The sequence below is a fragment of the Homo sapiens genome, chromosome 5 (assembly GCF_000001405.40).
Source record: "Homo sapiens chromosome 5, GRCh38.p14 Primary Assembly".
Lineage (NCBI taxonomy): Eukaryota > Metazoa > Chordata > Mammalia > Primates > Hominidae > Homo > Homo sapiens.
This window is the reverse complement of record NC_000005.10, coordinates 96,777,457-96,795,690: the sequence shown is the minus strand read 5'-3', so window position 1 is coordinate 96,795,690 and position 18,234 is coordinate 96,777,457. Positions and strand designations below refer to the sequence as shown.

Here is an 18,234-nt window from a genome sequence, read left to right as displayed (position 1 = left end):
TTCCTTGAGAAAGGGTAGTTATTTCTAGTTTACCTTTACATTAAAGGCCTGGCCTTTGGGTACTAGCTTTATGCAGGGATTGTATGTCCTGTTAGACTTTCTACTTTGGGCAGGCCCTGGACTTGGTCTCTTAACTCCTGAGTCCTTCAATGACATAAGAACCAAAGCTCAAGTCCAGCTGTGTTGGGCTAGTGCCGGCAGGGTTAAAGCTGGCTGCAGTGCTCTCCTGACATCAGAGGGTCTAACTGTCATTTCACTTTGGCTTCTAAATCTTTCTTTCTCATTTGCCATCTTATAAACACATTTAAGAACACTTTATACATGTTATCCAGCATTTGTTGTTGTTTTCAGAAGGGGGATTAATCAGGAACAGTCAGTATTAATGCAAGAAATGGAATTCCCAATTATTTTCTTTAATATTGGCAACCATATCCCACAATATGAAGACATTAATGTCAGTCTTCTACACAATGTGGGGAGAGAAGCCAGTTAAGATATTTGAATTCCTTTCTGTGCCTTTCTCTTTAGGTTTCTGTTTATGCTGTGCCAGACAAGATAAATCAAGCAGATTATGCACTGGATGCTGCGGTGACTCTTCTAGAATTTTATGAGGATTATTTCAGCATACCGTATCCCCTACCCAAACAAGGTAGAGATTTTGCACAGATATTACACATGACATTTGATGAACACAGTCATAGATTTGTCATTATAATTGGCACATCCCTGTAGTTGCCTCAGCAGCCCCTCAAGCCACAAAAACCCCAGCAAGTGACAAACCTGCGGTTGATCTTTCTGAGCATCTCCTCACCCTTGATGAGTACAGTAACTTCTAGTGATAGTGAAGAAAGCAGATCTTCATAGAGTTCTTGAGGCATATGGCATGGGGACTCTTTTGCCTTCTGATTTTATTAGTGGGCAGACAGCAGAGGGAAGAGGCTACATTTTTTCTTTACTGGCACCTGCTTGGCAGGAACCCAGAGGATGCTCAACAAACTGTTTTGAATGAATAAATTTATATAGTGTAAGACAATCTGAATTTTCTTTCTTACACAAGCCCTTAAAACTATTGTATGTTTGATTTTTTAGGTATATGTGGGTCTTGGGCATCCAAAATAGAATGGATTATTATAATTGTTTAGTTTTTCAATTTCCAAACTCCTCATCAGAAGGTTAGAAATGGAGTCAAGAGGCCTGAAAAGGCGGGCACGGTGGCTCATGTCTTGTAATCTCAGCACTTTGGGAGGCCCAGGCAGGTGGATTACTTGAGCCCAGGAGTTTGAGGCCAGCCTGGGCAACATGGCAAAACCCTGTTTCCACAAAAGTACAAAAATATTAGCTGAGTGTGGAGGTGCACTCTTGTAGTCCCAGCTACTTGCAAGGCTGAGATGGGAGGATCACCTGAGCTTGGGAGGTTGAGGCTGCAGTGAGGTGTAATTATACCACTGCAAATGCACTCCAGTATGGGTGACAGAGTGGGACCTTGTTTCCAAAAAAAAAAAAAAAAAAAAAAAAAAAAGGCCTGAGATGCAAGTCTGACTTTGCCACATTTATAGCAAAGTGATGCTGAGTCACTAAGCCTCTTTTTCTCCATTGTGAAAGGTTCTTCCAGTCTAGAGCTCCATGATTATGCACGGGCAGCTGGTTCAAACACCTATCCATTCTGAAGATTAGTGTTTGGGAGAATGTATAGCTTAGAGACTGGTAATGTATTTTATTACTTCCTTCCCAAGATCTTGCTGCTATTCCCGACTTTCAGTCTGGTGCTATGGAAAACTGGGGACTGACAACATATAGAGAATCTGCTCTGTTGTTTGATGCAGAAAAGTCTTCTGCATCAAGTAAGCTTGGCATCACAATGACTGTGGCCCATGAACTGGCTCACCAGGTATAAGCTCATTCACACTTTTAATAAAGTATAAACTACATTTATATTGCTTCTATGGGACATATAAGGCTATTTATATAATTTTTACTTTGTCTTTTTTTAATAGGAAAAATTGTTTCTCCAAAGCATTCGTTTTTATGTCTTATAATGCATGTTGAACTTTTTTTATTTTTACCTTGATTAAATATTGGTCCTGTAAATATATGTTAACATTCATAAACTTATATTGGACATCTAAAATATACTTCTTTCTGAGTGTCTTTGTTTATGGCTTATGTTGTGCTTTTAGTGGTTTGGGAACCTGGTCACTATGGAATGGTGGAATGATCTTTGGCTAAATGAAGGATTTGCCAAATTTATGGAGTTTGTGTCTGTCAGTGTGACCCATCCTGAACTGAAAGTTGTAAGTAGTTATTTATCCTTCACATTTGAGGTTAATTTGTTGTTTTGTTCAATATTGCTGGAAAATATTCACTAATCTTTGATTATAGAACTTATAAAAATATTTCACTGATAACTTCCTTGACAGTTTAGATATGAATCGTGTTGCAAAAATGCTAGTGAACTTTCAAGATATACCACAAAGACTTATTTACAAACTCAGTTGTGAATCTATGATTGTTTGTAAATTGTCCGATTTTATATTTCTTAATATCAAAGAAATAGAAATAATGGCAGCCTAAATGTTCCATTTCATTTTCCCAACCTTCAGGTTGCTCATTGCAGAATTATTAGGTACAGATTACTGATATCTCAATAGGACCCTACTTGCCAAATCAAATGAGTTATACTTAAGGTAACTGCACATTTGATTGTATAACAACCTAGGCTTCTGGATCACAAATTTATTGCTTTGGAACTGCTATATGGTTTATTTTTTAAATCACCACATTTAACTTAAGAAAATCACATATAGCAAAATTAAACTTATGTAAAAATTTTTTTATCCTACTCCAATGATTCTTTTCATTTGTAAATATTTATTCCTATTTTCATCTGCCTGTATACATTATTTAAAATATACATTTGTGAATATTTATTACTGCCTATTTTCATCTGCCTGTGTACATAATTAGAAAGTACACATCAATATTGCATTATAATCCTAAATATTTTCTTATGTTTCTACATGATCTTTAGTAATAAAAATGATTATGGATACATATTGTCCTGTTGAGCTAATGTGCTCTAATAAAGCTGGTTAAGGTTCTCCATTTATTTTCATTATGTTTTTAAAGGTAAGTATCTTTGCTCTAAAACAGTACAGACAATGATTGGAAATGTTGAAATTACTATACAGTTAATTTCTTGTTGTGTTGCTGTTTGGCTATAGGCATAATTGTTTCGTTTTTAGATTAATACGAAATTTTCTTTATTCTAAAGGACTTAAGATGAACAAAATCTATAATGTTTAACTAAAATCATTGTTTCTTGGGTAGCTTTTAGAATATATTAATTCTATTTTGTTTCATAAATATTAGGAAATATGGAATAGGTTGCCCCCAAAATGTGAAGTATGGACTTCTTGCCTCAGATAAAATGTCCCACCTTTGACATTTTTTATCTAAATGTAAATCATAGGTGATGTTTTCTTTTTTCTATCTCAATAGGGAGATTATTTCTTTGGCAAATGTTTTGACGCAATGGAGGTAGATGCTTTAAATTCCTCACACCCTGTGTCTACACCTGTGGAAAATCCTGCTCAGATCCGGGAGATGTTTGATGATGTTTCTTATGATAAGGTAAAAGTAGATTGAGTATAAGGATACAGTTTAGATACTAAAGTTATACATACTGGGGTGGAGAAGTTATAGGCAAGGTTGTGGGGTTAAACCCAGATTGAATGCCTTCTCTCTTGACACGTGCTGGCTGGAGTCAACTCTTTTAGGACTAACTTGCAGTTTGGCTCATAACCCTAAAGATTATTTTATGGGAAATTCTTCATATATTCTTTCTTGGGTTGAAAATTCATGGCTTACAGAAACTCTGCTTTTATTCATCATTCAACAAATAGGTATTGATTGAGCATCAACTTTGTACTAGACAAAAATTCCTGCCCTCGTGTAGCTTACTTTTCAAGGCCTTCAGCAATGGTTAATATTGTTGAGACGCAAATAATTGTCTTGCACAGTGTGCTTAGTAACAGAGTTGGGAATTGTTGACAACAGTTTAATGATTGGGAGATTTTATGTAAAATCCAGATTTCTAGCTTCTCTTGGGGAAGAAAAAGGAGGATTTGGCCACTGTATGTTCTTTGCAGCATAAGCTGGAGCTAAGTTGTTGTTCTCTCTTTGTAAGATCAAGGCTCTGCTTTTCCACTTTCCCTGCCATTCCCAACTGTTCTATTGTCTTCTCACCGAGGCTGAGAGTGTGTTGCCAGTTACCATTGTGCTTGGCTGTTGTTTTACCGGTAGCAAACAGAAAAGTCTTTCTTGCTTGCATGTTTCCATTGAAAGTCCAGGGGAAAAAGAATGTAAAAGAGCATTCTTCTTATCCTTGGACTACTTCCCTTATTTATATGCCCTGTCATGTGCCACTGGAGGCATTTGAGTTTGTGACTCACCATCCGTGGTAATGGGAGTGGAGGGGAAAAGAGCCCTTTACCAAGGAATACAGGGTGTCTGGGAAGACTCTTGTTCCCTTTCTCATTGTGACTCCAGCTCCATCAGCCCTCCATGCTCAAGGCTGCCTGGGCTCCCTGGACATATCCACTTTTCCTTCCCTGGCATCTACCTCTGCCTCCATCTCTAGTGCTCCACCCCTTGTTGTACTGGCCTCTCCTTAGTCCTGCCCTGGAATGGCAGTGGGAGAGCCAGGTAGTAGCTCAAGGTCCAATGTTTAATCTGCACCATTATCCCCACTCACATGTGAACAAAGGGAGTTGGCAGATGATGCTAATTTGCCCCATCGGGAGGTCTGGCTACTGATAGAAAATAAGGGCCTCAGTGGGCTCAGAGCATAAGCAATCACATTAGACAAATCTCCTGCCTAAACAGGTCCAGGTTTAACCTGCTTACTCTGTTTCACAAATTGCCAGACATTAACAGTGTTCCTGCAGTTGCGTTTTCAAAGAAATGTGTTTTATTGCAAAAGAATATGTGATTTCAGATGAGACTGCAATGAAACTATAGATAACAATTATTTCTATTATCTTTTCAGGGAGCTTGTATTCTGAATATGCTAAGGGAGTATCTTAGTGCTGACGCATTTAAAAGTGGTATTGTACAGTATCTCCAGAAGCATAGCTATAAAAATACAAAAAACGAGGACCTGTGGGATAGTATGGCAAGTGTGAGTATGTTTTTGAATATCTCTGCATTTGGGATTGACAGGCTTATCATCTTGTTTTGTTTTCCCTGCATTATGTTAATCCCTCTGAGGAGAATCATTGTTTTCTATAGAAATAAGAGTGATGTGTTTATTTTTGGTTTTTAGATTTGCCCTACAGATGGTGTAAAAGGGATGGATGGCTTTTGCTCTAGAAGTCAACATTCATCTTCATCCTCAGTAAGTTTCTATATCTGTACATGTTCCCCCAAGCACATTCTTTTACTGCATATTCTTTGAAAGGCAGCTCTGTGCCAAACTTTCTGAGGTCCTTGATTATATCACCCTCATTCCAGATAAGACTGCATTTAAACTATTCCATACTCATAATCTTTTTCAATTTTTCTTAAAGTGTATCTATACTGGAGGGTTGCAGAGCTTTCCTTGGTAATGCTTCTCACTGATACTAATTTCTCTAGCTTCCCTTTTAAAGCAGTGGATTTATGACATGTTTCTATAGCAGATTACAGCTGCATTGTAGCAGTCAAAAGGATATGTCAGTCATTTACAGAGCTCTGCATTTGTACAAAGACAATGGCACTGAGCATTCTTGAATACTTGTCATGTGTCAGGCACATGTTAAGCACTTATATGTATTATCTCCTTTACTCTTCATAATAAACCTGTGAGCTGGGTACTATTACTATCCCTATTTTTAAAGTTGAGAACATGAAATACAAAGACATCTGATTGGTAAATTGCAGAGCAGAGATCTGAATTTAGATCTAACTCATGTTTTTAACTGCTAAGCTATAAAGTATTCATAACATCAAGTCACAAAACAGCCTGAGTCTCTGTTCATCTGGACTTGTGGGATGTTTTCAGAGGAAGCTGAGGGTGAGTCTGGAGATACAACAGAATTTTTTGTTTCTTTTTTCTTTTTATATGTTTACTTTCTTGGCTTTTTTGTTCCTAGAGACTGCTTTATTCAGTAGTTTCTAGATTTGTCCTGTGGCACATTTTATCTTTTTACTAATTCTTTTTTTTTTGAGACAGAGTCTCACTCTGTTGCCCAGGCTGGAGTGCAGTGGCGTGATCTCGGCTCACTGTAGCCTCTGCCTCCCCGGTTCCAGCGATTCTCTTGCCTCAGCCTCCCAGGTAGCCGGGATTACAGGCACACGCCACTACACCCGGTTAATTTTTGTATTCTTAGTAGAGATGAGGTTTCACCATGTTCGCCAGGCTGGTCTTGAACTCCTGACCTCAGGTGATCCACCCAACTCAGACTCCGAAAGTGCTAGGATTACAGGCATGAGCCACCGCGCCCAGCCTTTACTACTTCTTAAATCATTTCTTAAAAGCTTTTTTAGTATCAAAAAACAGCTCCTTTTGAGTTCCCACTATTTGTTGAGTGTGGGTCATCTCTGTGTTCTCACTTTAGAAACACAGGCTCTTGACTGAACATTGTTTCCACCTTGCTTGTCCAAAACCAGCATAGTTAGGTAGGTATTGAAAACCTGGCACTTTCTCTCCCTTCTCTTCCTTCATTCATTCACATGCCTGCTTTGTGCCCAGTGTTATTGCCAGCCCCAAAGTGTGCCCGGCAGAACTAGGTATGCTACCTGTCCTCCAGACACGTATGTGTAGTGGAGGAAAATGACAAGCAAACAGCTGGTGCTCTAATGGAGGTGTGATGGCTGGGGACATCACACTGAGAAAGGGATCAGAAAGTGCTCCTAAGAGGGGAGGTTGGCAACTGGTAGCGGCTGTTTGAGCATAAGCTGGTGTTCTCTCTTTTCTTAGAGTTGGGTTAAATGGGTGATGTGTCTGCCTTTTTGTGTACACACCAGCATTGGCATCAGGAAGGGGTGGATGTGAAAACCATGATGAACACTTGGACACTGCAGAAGGGTTTTCCCCTAATAACCATCACAGTGAGGGGGAGGAATGTACACATGAAGCAAGAGCACTACATGAAGGGCTCTGACGGCGCCCCGGACACTGGGTAATGCTCCTAGAGTAAAATTTGTTTTGTTGTCTAGGTAACATCTGCCTTGTAGGATGGAACCTTGCTTTTGAAATAATGCCCTTACCACTATTGCTAAAATATTTCAGCTGCATCTGTGTATCCTATGAAGTTGACTTATACTCCCTGCCCCCATCTTCCCAGTAGGATTAAGGAGGCTTTAAACCTTGGTTATTCTCAGTAAAGGTGACGATGTAATTACTTTAACATTCTCATATTTTGTAATTTGATATGATGGTAATTTCTGGTTACTGGCTTGAAATCAACTCCAACCTAAGCAACTGCTACTAGATTACAATAGTGCCTAGCATTTGGTTGGAGCTGAGGACAAAAGAATTTAGGTGATTTCCGAGAATGATGAGAGACTCAGTTGTCTTCTTCTGAGTTAGATTTGGAACCTGTTTGTCAGCTTAATGCTATAGAAGAATATTATTAGAAACAAGATGCTGCAACTTGATTGACCCTGGATGGATACCGTTAAAAAATTCTTTTATCTTGAAACAATTTCAGACTTATAGAGAAGTTACAAGAATAACACAACAAATTCCTATATATCCTTTACCTAGATACATGTTAACTCTTTACTCCTTTACTTTCTTCACCTCCCTCTCTCTCTTGCTCTCTCTCTCTCTCTATATATATATGTATATGTTTGTGTGGATATATGTGTGTGTGTATATATACATATATATGTGTATATATATACACACACATATATATATATAATATATACACCTCCCTCCCCCATCTTCCCAAAAGGATTAAGGAGGTTTTAAATCTTGATTAATCGATATCCATCTATCTACATACATACCTATATACATATGTCTGTATGTATATACTTGGCATATGTTTTTCTGAACTGTTTGACAGTAAATTGGTGACATGATTCCCCTTCACACCTAAATGTTTCAGCATAGTATTTTCTACAAAACAACATTTATGGCCGGTCACAGTGGCTCATGCCTTTAATACCAGGACTTTGGGAAGCCGAGGCAGGAGGATCACCTGAGGTTAGGAGTTCGAGACCAGCCTGGCCAACATGGTGAAACACCATCTCTACTAAAAATACAAAAATTAGCCGGGCATGGTGGCGGGCGCCTGTAGTCCCAGCTACTCAGGAGGGTGAGGCAGGAGAATCGCTTGTACCCAGGAGGTGGAGGTTGCAGTGAGCCGAGATCGCACCACTGCACTCCAGCCTGGACAACAAGAGCGAAACTCCATCTCAAAACAAACAAACAAAAAACAAGAACATTCAGTTATATAACCATAGCCACAGTACAATTATCAAAATTGGGAAATAAACTTTATATAATACTATTATCTATAAATCCCATTCAACTTTTTCCAATTGTCCTAAAAATATCCTTATAGCAAAATAGAAAATAAATTCTGACTTAGGATTTAATACAGGATCACTTATTTTATTTAGTTGTTGCATCATTTTGGTCTCCATTTTTTTCTGAAACAACTCTTCAGTCTTTTTTGGGCTTCTCGATATTGACATTTTTTGAAGAGTACTGGCCAGTTATTTTATAGAATGCCTTTCAGTTTGGATTTTCTGCTGTTTCTCCATGATCAGGTTCAGCTTACATATCATTGACAGGAATCCCAAGGAGGTGATATTGTGTCCTTCCTAATATACTATTCAGGAGGCACATGAGTCCTGAAGTTAGGCCTCTGAGATGCAATCAGCCAATCACTGTAAAAAGGCTTTCAGGGTTCACGTGAGTCCAAATTCTTAGCTCTACTCAAGGAGTCCAAGAAAAGGAAATAGTGCCCGAGCTGACACTCCCTACAAAGCTGGAAAACAGACTGGGGATGTTTTGAGAGCTTGGCTGTAGCAGTTTTGGTACTATCTTGTTCTAAACTAACCAGTGCCTGGCACATGATAGGTGATTTAATAACTGCTTGTTGAATTGAATCAACAAATGAACAATCCACCTCTCCTTTATTTTAGGTACCTGTGGCATGTTCCATTGACATTCATCACCAGCAAATCCGACATGGTCCATCGATTTTTGCTAAAAACAAAAACAGGTAATTTATTTTGGAAACTACTAGTTAATTCAAGGAGGAATGTGAAAATGTGTAGGATTAAAGTGCTGTTTCTTTTGCTATTTATCTTGGTTAAAGCAAAAGGGATCAGATTGAAAATGCTTTCTGGTTTCAAAGAAGAATGGCCAATATCTTGCCAGATAGAGATTATAGCTGAATTATATAATGCTAAAAAGGAGGGATTACCAGTGAACATTCACTATTACTTTGTTAACATTACTGGGTTATATCATATGTATGGCCAGAGATGTAGTTGCCATTCTTTTCATAGATCTGTAAATCTCACAAAATTGATGTCTAAAGCTAGTGTTAGCTTTTGTCTATTGAGTTGCTGTTTTCTGGTTTCTGAGAGAAATAAGTGATGTTTTCAAATTTTTCAGTATTAAACTCTTCTCTAATTTCCTTGCCCAATCTTGGATGAGAAAAGCTTTCTTCAGGCAGGGGAGCAAATGGAACTTTGATTTATTTTATTTACTCTAGATGTGCTCATCCTCCCAGAAGAGGTGGAATGGATCAAATTTAATGTGGGCATGAATGGCTATTACATTGTGCATTACGAGGATGATGGATGGGACTCTTTGACTGGCCTTTTAAAAGGAACACACACAGCAGTCAGCAGTAATGATCGGGCGAGTCTCATTAACAATGCATTTCAGCTCGTCAGGTAATACACGCTGCACAAAGTCGCGGTTTATTTCTGAAAGCAGCTGTTATTGTTCAAATTCTTGATTTCTAAAGACAAAAATGATTGATTGATAACAAGAAGTTGAAAGGTGTTTTCCTTTAAGTTCTTCTAACAACCCAAGATTGCTTTTAGTCTTATAATTAACCTCCTGTCTGTGACTACTAAGGCACTTGAAGGAAGGAATCTGTATCTTAATCTTTCTCATTAATAATTCAGATCATACTGAGGCGGAAGTGTAGATAACCAGGAGATCAACATCCTGGCGAAACTCCTTGCCTTGTCCCCGCGGCATGGTCCCGCAGCTTCTTCTGGCCCCGCTATACCGGATCAGGTTTCTCCCACCACTGGGTCTTTATAACAGCCTTGAAGTCTTCTTAGAAGACTAAGTGACACAGGCCCAAGTTGTTTGCATTACATTTCTTGGGTTAAAGAAGGGATTTTTTTTTCTTTCCTAAACCAGATACCTGAACTTTGCAGCATCTTTATGGAATATAGCTCATAAAATGTAGCCCAACCAAATGATCTCTGAGTGTGTGAAGACAGAATTAACACTACCCTTTTTTTTTCCTCCCCCATGACAATGGTTTTTAAGGAAATGCTCCCAAAGCCTAAAACTCAAACTTCTTCAACATGTAGGCAGACCTAAAGTCCTAAGAGGAAGCATGCAGGTGGGAAGGATTATCTCTTTCTCCTCATACCCGTATCCTTCTGGCCTAAATTTTGAGTGCCTTCTGGTTCTTCTCACCACCATACTGGGCCTCCTGAAGTGAGAAAAAGCAATGGGGGAGAAAGTTATGGGTTGCTTACCTAGCTGTTTCTTTCTGCCTAAAAAATTCCCCTCTGTAGAATATTTCTGCTTGAGCCTTAGAGGGCTTCTTCTTTTTTATTTTTTAACTTATATAATATATACCCTACCACTGAGGTTTTTAACACTAACCCTCTGTAATGAAGGGTTTCTAAGGATATGCAGTGTCTTTGAAATGGAGAAGAAAATGTGTTTCCTCCAGGAACTCATGGTTTTGACCAGATGATAGTCTGTTTGACCAGGCTTCCTAAAGGGTCTTTGATGGAAATCCCTTGCTTACTCTAGAAGTTCACCACTCAATCCAGTGTTTCACAGGGATAGATGCTGATGTGCTTCCTTTCCGGCTTATCCACGTTAGCCCTAGACGTTACTGTTTGAGAAACTTCCTCCCTAGTGTAAACATGCCGGATGTTGTGTTATATGTGATAGAAAAGAGACTTATATAGTAGTTATCTATCTGTTTGTTTATTTATTTTTTGGAGATGGAGTCTCACTCTGTCGCCCAGGCTGGAGTGCAGTGGTGCCATCTCAGCTCACCGCCTCTGCCTCCCGGGTTCAAGTGATTCTCCGGCCTCAGCCTCCCACATACCAAGTACCTGCCACCATGCCTGCCTATTTTATGTATTTTTAGTAGAGACGGGGTTTCACCATGTTGGCCAGGCTGGTCTTGAACTCCCGACCTCAGGTGATCCACCTGCCTTGGCCTCCTAAAGTGCTGGGATTACAGGCATGAGCCACCGCGCCCGGCCGTAGTTATCTATTTATAAGGGACATTTATATCTGATTGCTTGTTTTGCTAGAAGATTAAAATATATTTTGAAGCAAAAAGTTGACTTCCCGGATTTACTTTTAAACCACTAACCACAGTGTCTCTTGGTCAGCATTGGGAAGCTGTCCATTGAAAAGGCCTTGGATTTATCCCTGTACTTGAAACATGAAACTGAAATTATGCCCGTGTTTCAAGGTTTGAATGAGCTGATTCCTATGTATAAGTTAATGGAGAAAAGAGATATGAATGAAGTGGAAACTCAATTCAAGGTAAAAGCCTGAAATAAAAGTTATGTAATTATTATTTGTGTTAAAAAGTGTTAATCATTGTGTGTGTATGTGTGTGTGTGTGTGTGTGTGTGTGTGTGTGTGTGTATCTTTATATACATATTAAGGAAAAGCAAATAAATATTAGTTCAGTATTTAGATGGACTAGCAAGATTTTGGTTTTATTTGGCACTAAAAATAGGAATGGCATTCTTAGACTCTATTTAATTTGCATGGATTTGTTATTTCCTTCCTTTCACAAACCTTTTATTTCATTTTCCTTTCCTATTACAATGGCTGACGTTCAGATTTTCTGGGACTCTTCATGGTACTTGAGGAAGAGGCACAAAATTGTTATGCTTGGCAAAATGTCCTGAAGTCTTGTTGCATAATTTGCTCTCAAAATTTAGTCATGTAAACTCTCTTTGAGTTTGTTTTAAAAGTCGCAATTCATCCTGACTTTAAGTAGATGGATATCTTATAAAAGTTTGTTATGAAAATATGAAAGTCATTCATCATTATTTATTGTTTTTGGCCCTTTTATAATTAAACAGTGCTGCATGATTTATACAGTAAAAGTTAGATTATGCTTTAAAAATTAGCCCCCATCATCTGAGACCATAATGGATTATATTAACATGAAATGACCTGTGACAATACTGGTCCCTGTTTCCCTGTACAACGCCCTCAGGCCTTCCTCATCAGGCTGCTAAGGGACCTCATTGATAAGCAGACATGGACAGACGAGGGCTCAGTCTCAGAGCGAATGCTGCGGAGTCAACTACTACTCCTCGCCTGTGTGCACAACTATCAGCCGTGCGTACAGAGGGCAGAAGGCTATTTCAGAAAGTGGAAGGAATCCAATGGAAACTTGAGGTCAGTCCTTACTAAATAACCAATTTGTTGATGTGAAGGGCATCTTTTCTGTTTTCCATCATTGGTACTAAACATTAGGGAAAACAAAAAGTTTAAGTGTCTCCCCTGCTGCCCTTTTCTGGAAAATAAATTGCTTTTTAAGATTTATCTATGTATCTCGTAACTTTAAGAAATGCTAGGAGGGAACTTCTATGCATAAAAGTCAAATATCTGGGGAGTTAGGATGGTATGGGAATAATTCTCATTTTGTATAGGCAATGCAAAATCTTATTAAACGGTGACAGCCATGCCATAGAGAAACACATGCATTGTATTTTATAGTAGTTTCTTTGGGCTTCCAAATTCCCTGACAGGGATGCATAGTAATTGCTGACACTGTCTAAGCAAGGTAGGATTTTACCGTATCTGGAAATCCCTATTCTTGCTACACTTCAGTCCTTTTTACATTTGGAGCTTAAACCCCACCCAGGAAACATTTATGCCAACAACCTACATGCTTCAGCTTAAAGAAATCCAAACAGTGGTCCTACTGCCGTCCTGACTTGTGATCATGGTGTAAATTTTGAATATAGTTTGAATTTCTTTTGGCTTGAAAGGTGATCCCCTATGGAGTCACCCAGCATCATTAAAGTATTTAAATATGTAGGTATTTATAAAAATGGCATTTCACATTTTTGAGAAGGCTACTTAAAACCTAATTTTAGATATTTTTCTCTTGCCTTTTTTTTATAAAGTGTAACTAGGCCAGGCGCGGTGGCTCACGCCTGTAATCCCAGCACTTTGGGAGGCTGAGGTGGGTGGATCACGAGGTCAGGGGATCAAGACCATCCTGGCTAAGACGGTGAAACCCCGTCTCTACTAAAATACAAAAAATGAGCCGGGCATGGTGGCGGGCGCCTGTAGTCCCAGCTACTCGGGAGGCTGAGGTAGGAGAATGGCGTGAACCCGGGAGGGCGGAGCTTGCAGGAACCGATATCGAGCCACGGCACTCCAGCCTGGGTGACAGAGCAAGACTCCGTCCTAAAAAAAAAAAAAAAAAAAATTGTAACTGAAGGAAATCAGTAGTTTTTGTTTATATTTCCAGGCATGCTTCTCTGATCATGGGGAAAGTTCAGCAGTTCATAGTTAGTCACCATTATGCCTCTAAACATACTTACTGCACCTCAGATTCTCACCGAGTGTGTTCCTTTCTATAGCCTGCCTGTCGACGTGACCTTGGCAGTGTTTGCTGTGGGGGCCCAGAGCACAGAAGGCTGGGATTTTCTTTATAGTAAATATCAGTTTTCTTTGTCCAGTACTGAGAAAAGCCAAATTGAATTTGCCCTCTGCAGAACCCAAAATAAGGAAAAGCTTCAATGGTGAGTCCGTCATTCATTCATGTTCATGTGGCCAAGGGAAATTAGATTAGATTAGATCATTCTGGCATCTATTTTTGTTTTCTTGGCCAGGAATTGCCTATCCTGCTGGGAACATACTGCAAGTCAGCACACATCTAATGAGAAAGGCAAATAATTAGGGAGAACCAGGTGTTAGGAAAAATATTTAAAGGTGTATACATTTGTGCATCTTTAAAATGACAACATATTAAAAATATTTACTAGAGCTACTCTTCCTTAACTATTCTTTTGAGCAAATGAGAGGGTATATGAGAATGGGTGTTATGAACACTATATAAATGTTAGTTTTTATTATGTAGCTATAGTGGGTTTATCAGGATTGTGGTTACCCATTTATCTTTTTAACCTTTGTTACTGGCAGACTTTTTTTTCTTTTACAAGTAATTTTATTGCAGTGATTCATAACTGTTTCATCACCTATTCATTGCTAACATTTCTTTTCTTAATCCTTCTAGGCTACTAGATGAAAGCTTTAAGGGAGATAAAATAAAAACTCAGGAGTTTCCACAAATTCTTACACTCATTGGCAGGAACCCAGTAGGATACCCACTGGCCTGGCAATTTCTGAGGAAAAACTGGAACAAACTTGTACAAAAGTAAGTGGTGCCAAAAATTGTGCTGTGACTGGATAAGTTCATAACCTTACTGTGTTTTAGCCTTGCTGTTTGTAAAAGAACAGTAACAGTCTAAAGGTACTTTTTGATTGAAGATAGGCAGTAGAAATACCTAAAATATTTGTAGAAAACATAAAACTGGACTTCAGTGCTAACTAGTGAATCTGGACAGGGATGTTTTCCATTCCATCTGGCATAACCCCTTCCTGAGCCCATGGACATATCTGAAGCCTTCCTCCTCACAGTTCAGCCCAGGCCTTCCATGAACACATTTGCTTGTTCACATCTGTCTTTGTCTAACTCTTATAGCATTTCCTGCTTCTGTCATTTTCTGTTGGATACTTAACCTTTTATTAGGCTGTTGGTGTGTATTATTCTTTACAGCTAGATCTTAACCCATTGGATAGACATCATATTTTGTATTTTTCACACCGATCAGTTTTTAGCTGAAAGCTATTATATATAGGAGGCCCTTAAAATATATGTTAAATGAATAAGTATTTCACAACCCGTTTTTGAATATTTCCCTCTCTAGGTTTGAACTTGGCTCATCTTCCATAGCCCACATGGTAATGGGTACAACAAATCAATTCTCCACAAGAACACGGCTTGAAGAGGTAAAAAAAAAAAATCTATATATATATTTTTAAACATAAATGAAAATTAGCTAATTAATATGGGGTAGACAAAATACTTTGAGGGTGTGGTGAGTTAGAAATGGATTGTCATTTAGAAGTTATTTTTGGATGCTATGGTGTTGACAGCAGCATAAATCAGTTGCAATTAAACTAGTGAAAACTGTGCCTCTTCTCAGACACGTTAAGAGGTCTTAGCTCTGCCAGTAAAAACCTTAGGACTTGAAGAAAATTACTTGAGACAATTAGTCCTTGTTTAAGGATGTTAAAAGTGGGCACTGAGGTATAAATGACTGAAGTGGTCATCCAGCTGTTGCTAAAGAGGCAGGTCCGGAATCTAGGTTCTTTATAAACCATCCAAGTTCATGGTTCCCTGTCACTTATTATGTAACCATCTACCTTCAGAAAGAATTTCAGGCAGCTTTAAGATCCATGTATAAAAGAAATGTTAAAATGAAGGACAAAAAGATACATAATGGACAGGTGATAACCATGTGAGGGACTTATGGCTGAGGATAATTCTCGCAATTGTCCCCTGAATTTATCACAGACATTCCTGGAAGTCAAGGAAAAATGAGGAATCAGTATGAGTTATTCTCATTGTCTGGTAAAAGAGAACATGAAGCATACACATTTTCTACAAAAGCAGACTTTTCTTCAGTCCTAAACTCGAGGACTTTGATGTGTGGGCCATTGAGTTCTGTGGTGTCCCTTCTATAATAAGGTTTCCTATAGTAAAGTTGTGGAACAAATTTTACAAGGCTCTTAAACTGTGGTACATTTAGATAAAAGCTGAGAGGCTAATATTAATTTTTTTAGGAGTGGTTCCATTGTGTAGTCTGGTTACACTATTTTCTAGCTTGAGATGGGGAGAGAGCTTTGGAAATGAAAAAGAATGAAGGGTTGTTACAGTCTCGTAGCTTTTTTCCAGTTTTCAGTAGCCTCATCCAGGCTTGTAAAATTAACTTGCATATAATAATTCAAGCTTGAACTCCAGCGAGGTCTAGAGCAGAGATACTCTGTCTGATGACTGAAGAGATGTCCAAAGCCTTGACCAGAAAGGTAGTCATCTATAGACAAGATCTATAGCAACAAAGCATTTCATTCATTCACTTGTATTCTCATTAATTCATTCAAGACATATATGCCACACATGGTTTTAGGTTATGGGGCTGTAACAGTGAACAGACAGACAAAACCTTTGCTGTCACGGAGCTGAAATTTCTGCTGTGGGAATCAGACAATTACAGACAAATCAACCAATGTCAAGTAGTTACATGCTCTGAAGATGAATAAGGCAAGGAGAGTGATTGGGATAGAGGGTTGGTGCTGTTTTATAGGATGATTAGGAGACATTTGAGAAGATATCGAAGGAAATGCCAACATCTAGAGGAGTATTGTGTGCAGAGGAAATATCAGGTGCGAAGATCCTGAAGCAGGGCATGAAAAGTAAAGAGCCCGAGATGTTATCATAATGGAGAGCAAACTACGGACATATAAAATACGGGAGTCATCCTGAATCCTTTCTTCCCCAGACATCTAACTACGCAAGTCCTGCCGGTCTTCCCTCAGCACATGCACTGGATCTTGCGCACTTCTCTCTGCTCTTACCCCCATTCAATCCTTTCTCATCTCTTGCCTTGCCTATTGCAATAGTGTCCTAACTGGCCTCCCCCTTGCCACTTTGCCAATAGCAAAACATTTTCCACATTGAAGACTGCAAGTCAGCCCATAACTGACCCTGGCTTCTTGAAACCCTGCCTATTGTTCTTGCAGTAAATTCCAAATCCCTCCTTCCCATGTGTCCATGACCTTGAAGACCTGGCTTCTGAGGACCTCTCTGGTGCCAATTCCCACAGGCGCTCCTGGCTTACTCTCTCATAACACTGTAGCCACTCAGCCTCCTTCTGCTCCTGGGCTACCACATGTTTCTCCTGTCTTTAAGCCTCTGCACTTTTTATTCTCTCTGCCTGGCTTGCCCATTCCCCAACTTTTCACTAGAAAGGGGCATTTTATCTTTGAGAGGTCTCGGCTCAGATCACCTTCCCCAAAACCATGCTGTTCAATGCAGGCCACATCTCCTCAGTTACTAGCATACCCCTGGCATATTTTCTTCATAGCAGTTTATTTACAGTAATCATATTTACTGCTTGTATACCCCAAAAGACTGTAAGCTCCATGAGGGGAGGATGCTTGCCTGATTCACTGCTGCATCCTCAGTGTCTAGCACAGTAATTACAGCAGAGGGATGAATAAATATCAGAGTAAATATTGGTGAACAAATGGATGAGGTTAAGTCCCTGATACATGCTGGGTTTGGGGCTTTGCACTTTACCTGCATTATATAACTACATCCTTCACCACTGCTCTTCATTTTACAAATGAGGAGACTGGCTTCCATAGAAGTTAAATCATTTGCTCAAATCAAGTTAGTAGGATAAACCTGTTTTCCTATCCCTGTATTGTGCTACTTATTGCACAGAAATTGTTCTTAAAGAGCCAAGTCTGAATCAAATATTCAGTGGAGATGTTGCATTTCCAAGGCAGGTGAAGACAGAAGAGATGATTTTGGGTCAGGACAAGGGTAAGAGTAATGGTTAACAGCTGGCTTCGCTGTTGTAGAAGGTCTGTTTTTAGTGGAGCTATCATGATGAGCTCCTTTAGGATTAATGATTTGAACAATTAGTAAAATTATTGATGTGCTTTGTTGAGTAGTGCTCAGTGATTTTTAATCGACTGTGAATTAATCTTGCATTCTGAGAGCGTATGAAACAGTAGGTTGAGCTACAACTTAAAGTAGAGAGTGAAGTGTTTTCCAGGTTGCTACAGCAGGAGGCCATGCCTTCTGCTCATTGTAAAGTTGCACTGTATTGACATATAATTTTAAAACAACTCTGCATCATTTAAAATTGAATTCTGATCTTTCTAAAACCCATTCCTACTCCCCT

General features: G+C 39.0%; 1 protein-coding gene and 1 long non-coding RNA gene across 20 annotated transcripts in view, besides 1 other annotated feature; one reads left to right on the top strand and one right to left on the bottom strand.

Moving 5' to 3' along the window:
* ERAP1 (endoplasmic reticulum aminopeptidase 1) overlaps positions 1-18,234 on the top strand; it is a 175,042-nt gene that overhangs the window by 140,164 nt on the left and 16,644 nt on the right. For 16 of the 19 annotated variants that reach the window (XM_047417310.1, XM_047417309.1, XM_047417308.1 and 13 more), the window contains 14 exons: positions 529-649; positions 1,734-1,888; positions 2,178-2,291; positions 3,499-3,630; positions 5,048-5,179; positions 5,324-5,395; positions 7,006-7,160; positions 9,142-9,221; positions 9,720-9,903; positions 11,611-11,767; positions 12,456-12,640; positions 13,837-13,998; positions 14,493-14,633; positions 15,187-15,268. In XM_047417310.1, coding sequence (XP_047273266.1) covers positions 529-649; positions 1,734-1,888; positions 2,178-2,291; positions 3,499-3,630; positions 5,048-5,179; positions 5,324-5,395; positions 7,006-7,160; positions 9,142-9,221; positions 9,720-9,903; positions 11,611-11,767; positions 12,456-12,640; positions 13,837-13,998; positions 14,493-14,633; positions 15,187-15,268 — 1,872 coding nt within the window. Of the gene's footprint in view, positions 1-528; positions 650-1,644; positions 1,705-1,733; positions 1,889-2,177; positions 2,292-3,498; positions 3,631-5,047; positions 5,180-5,323; positions 5,396-7,005; positions 7,161-9,141; positions 9,222-9,719; positions 9,904-11,610; positions 11,768-12,455; positions 12,641-13,836; positions 13,999-14,492; positions 14,634-15,186; positions 15,269-18,234 lie in introns of those variants that run through there. The other 3 variants (XM_047417312.1, XM_047417311.1, XM_017009583.3) reach the window with 2 other exon arrangements.
* Positions 8,585-11,611, bottom strand: LOC124901031 (uncharacterized). The gene is made up of 2 exons (XR_007058877.1): positions 10,623-11,611; positions 8,585-10,306 (listed from the first exon to the last, which is right to left on the bottom strand). It is a non-coding gene; the product is annotated as an uncharacterized LOC124901031 (long non-coding RNA).
* Positions 14,120-15,319: an enhancer, noted in NCBI's record as "CDK7 strongly-dependent group 2 enhancer chr5:96116076-96117275 (GRCh37/hg19 assembly coordinates)". NCBI's record gives its function as "activates an origin of replication core promoter dependent on BRD2, BRD4, P300/CBP, MED14 and CDK7 cofactors, with strong dependence on CDK7, by STARR-seq in HCT116 cells {active_cell/tissue: HCT116}" and the evidence as "EXISTENCE:reporter gene assay evidence [ECO:0000049][PMID:35650434]".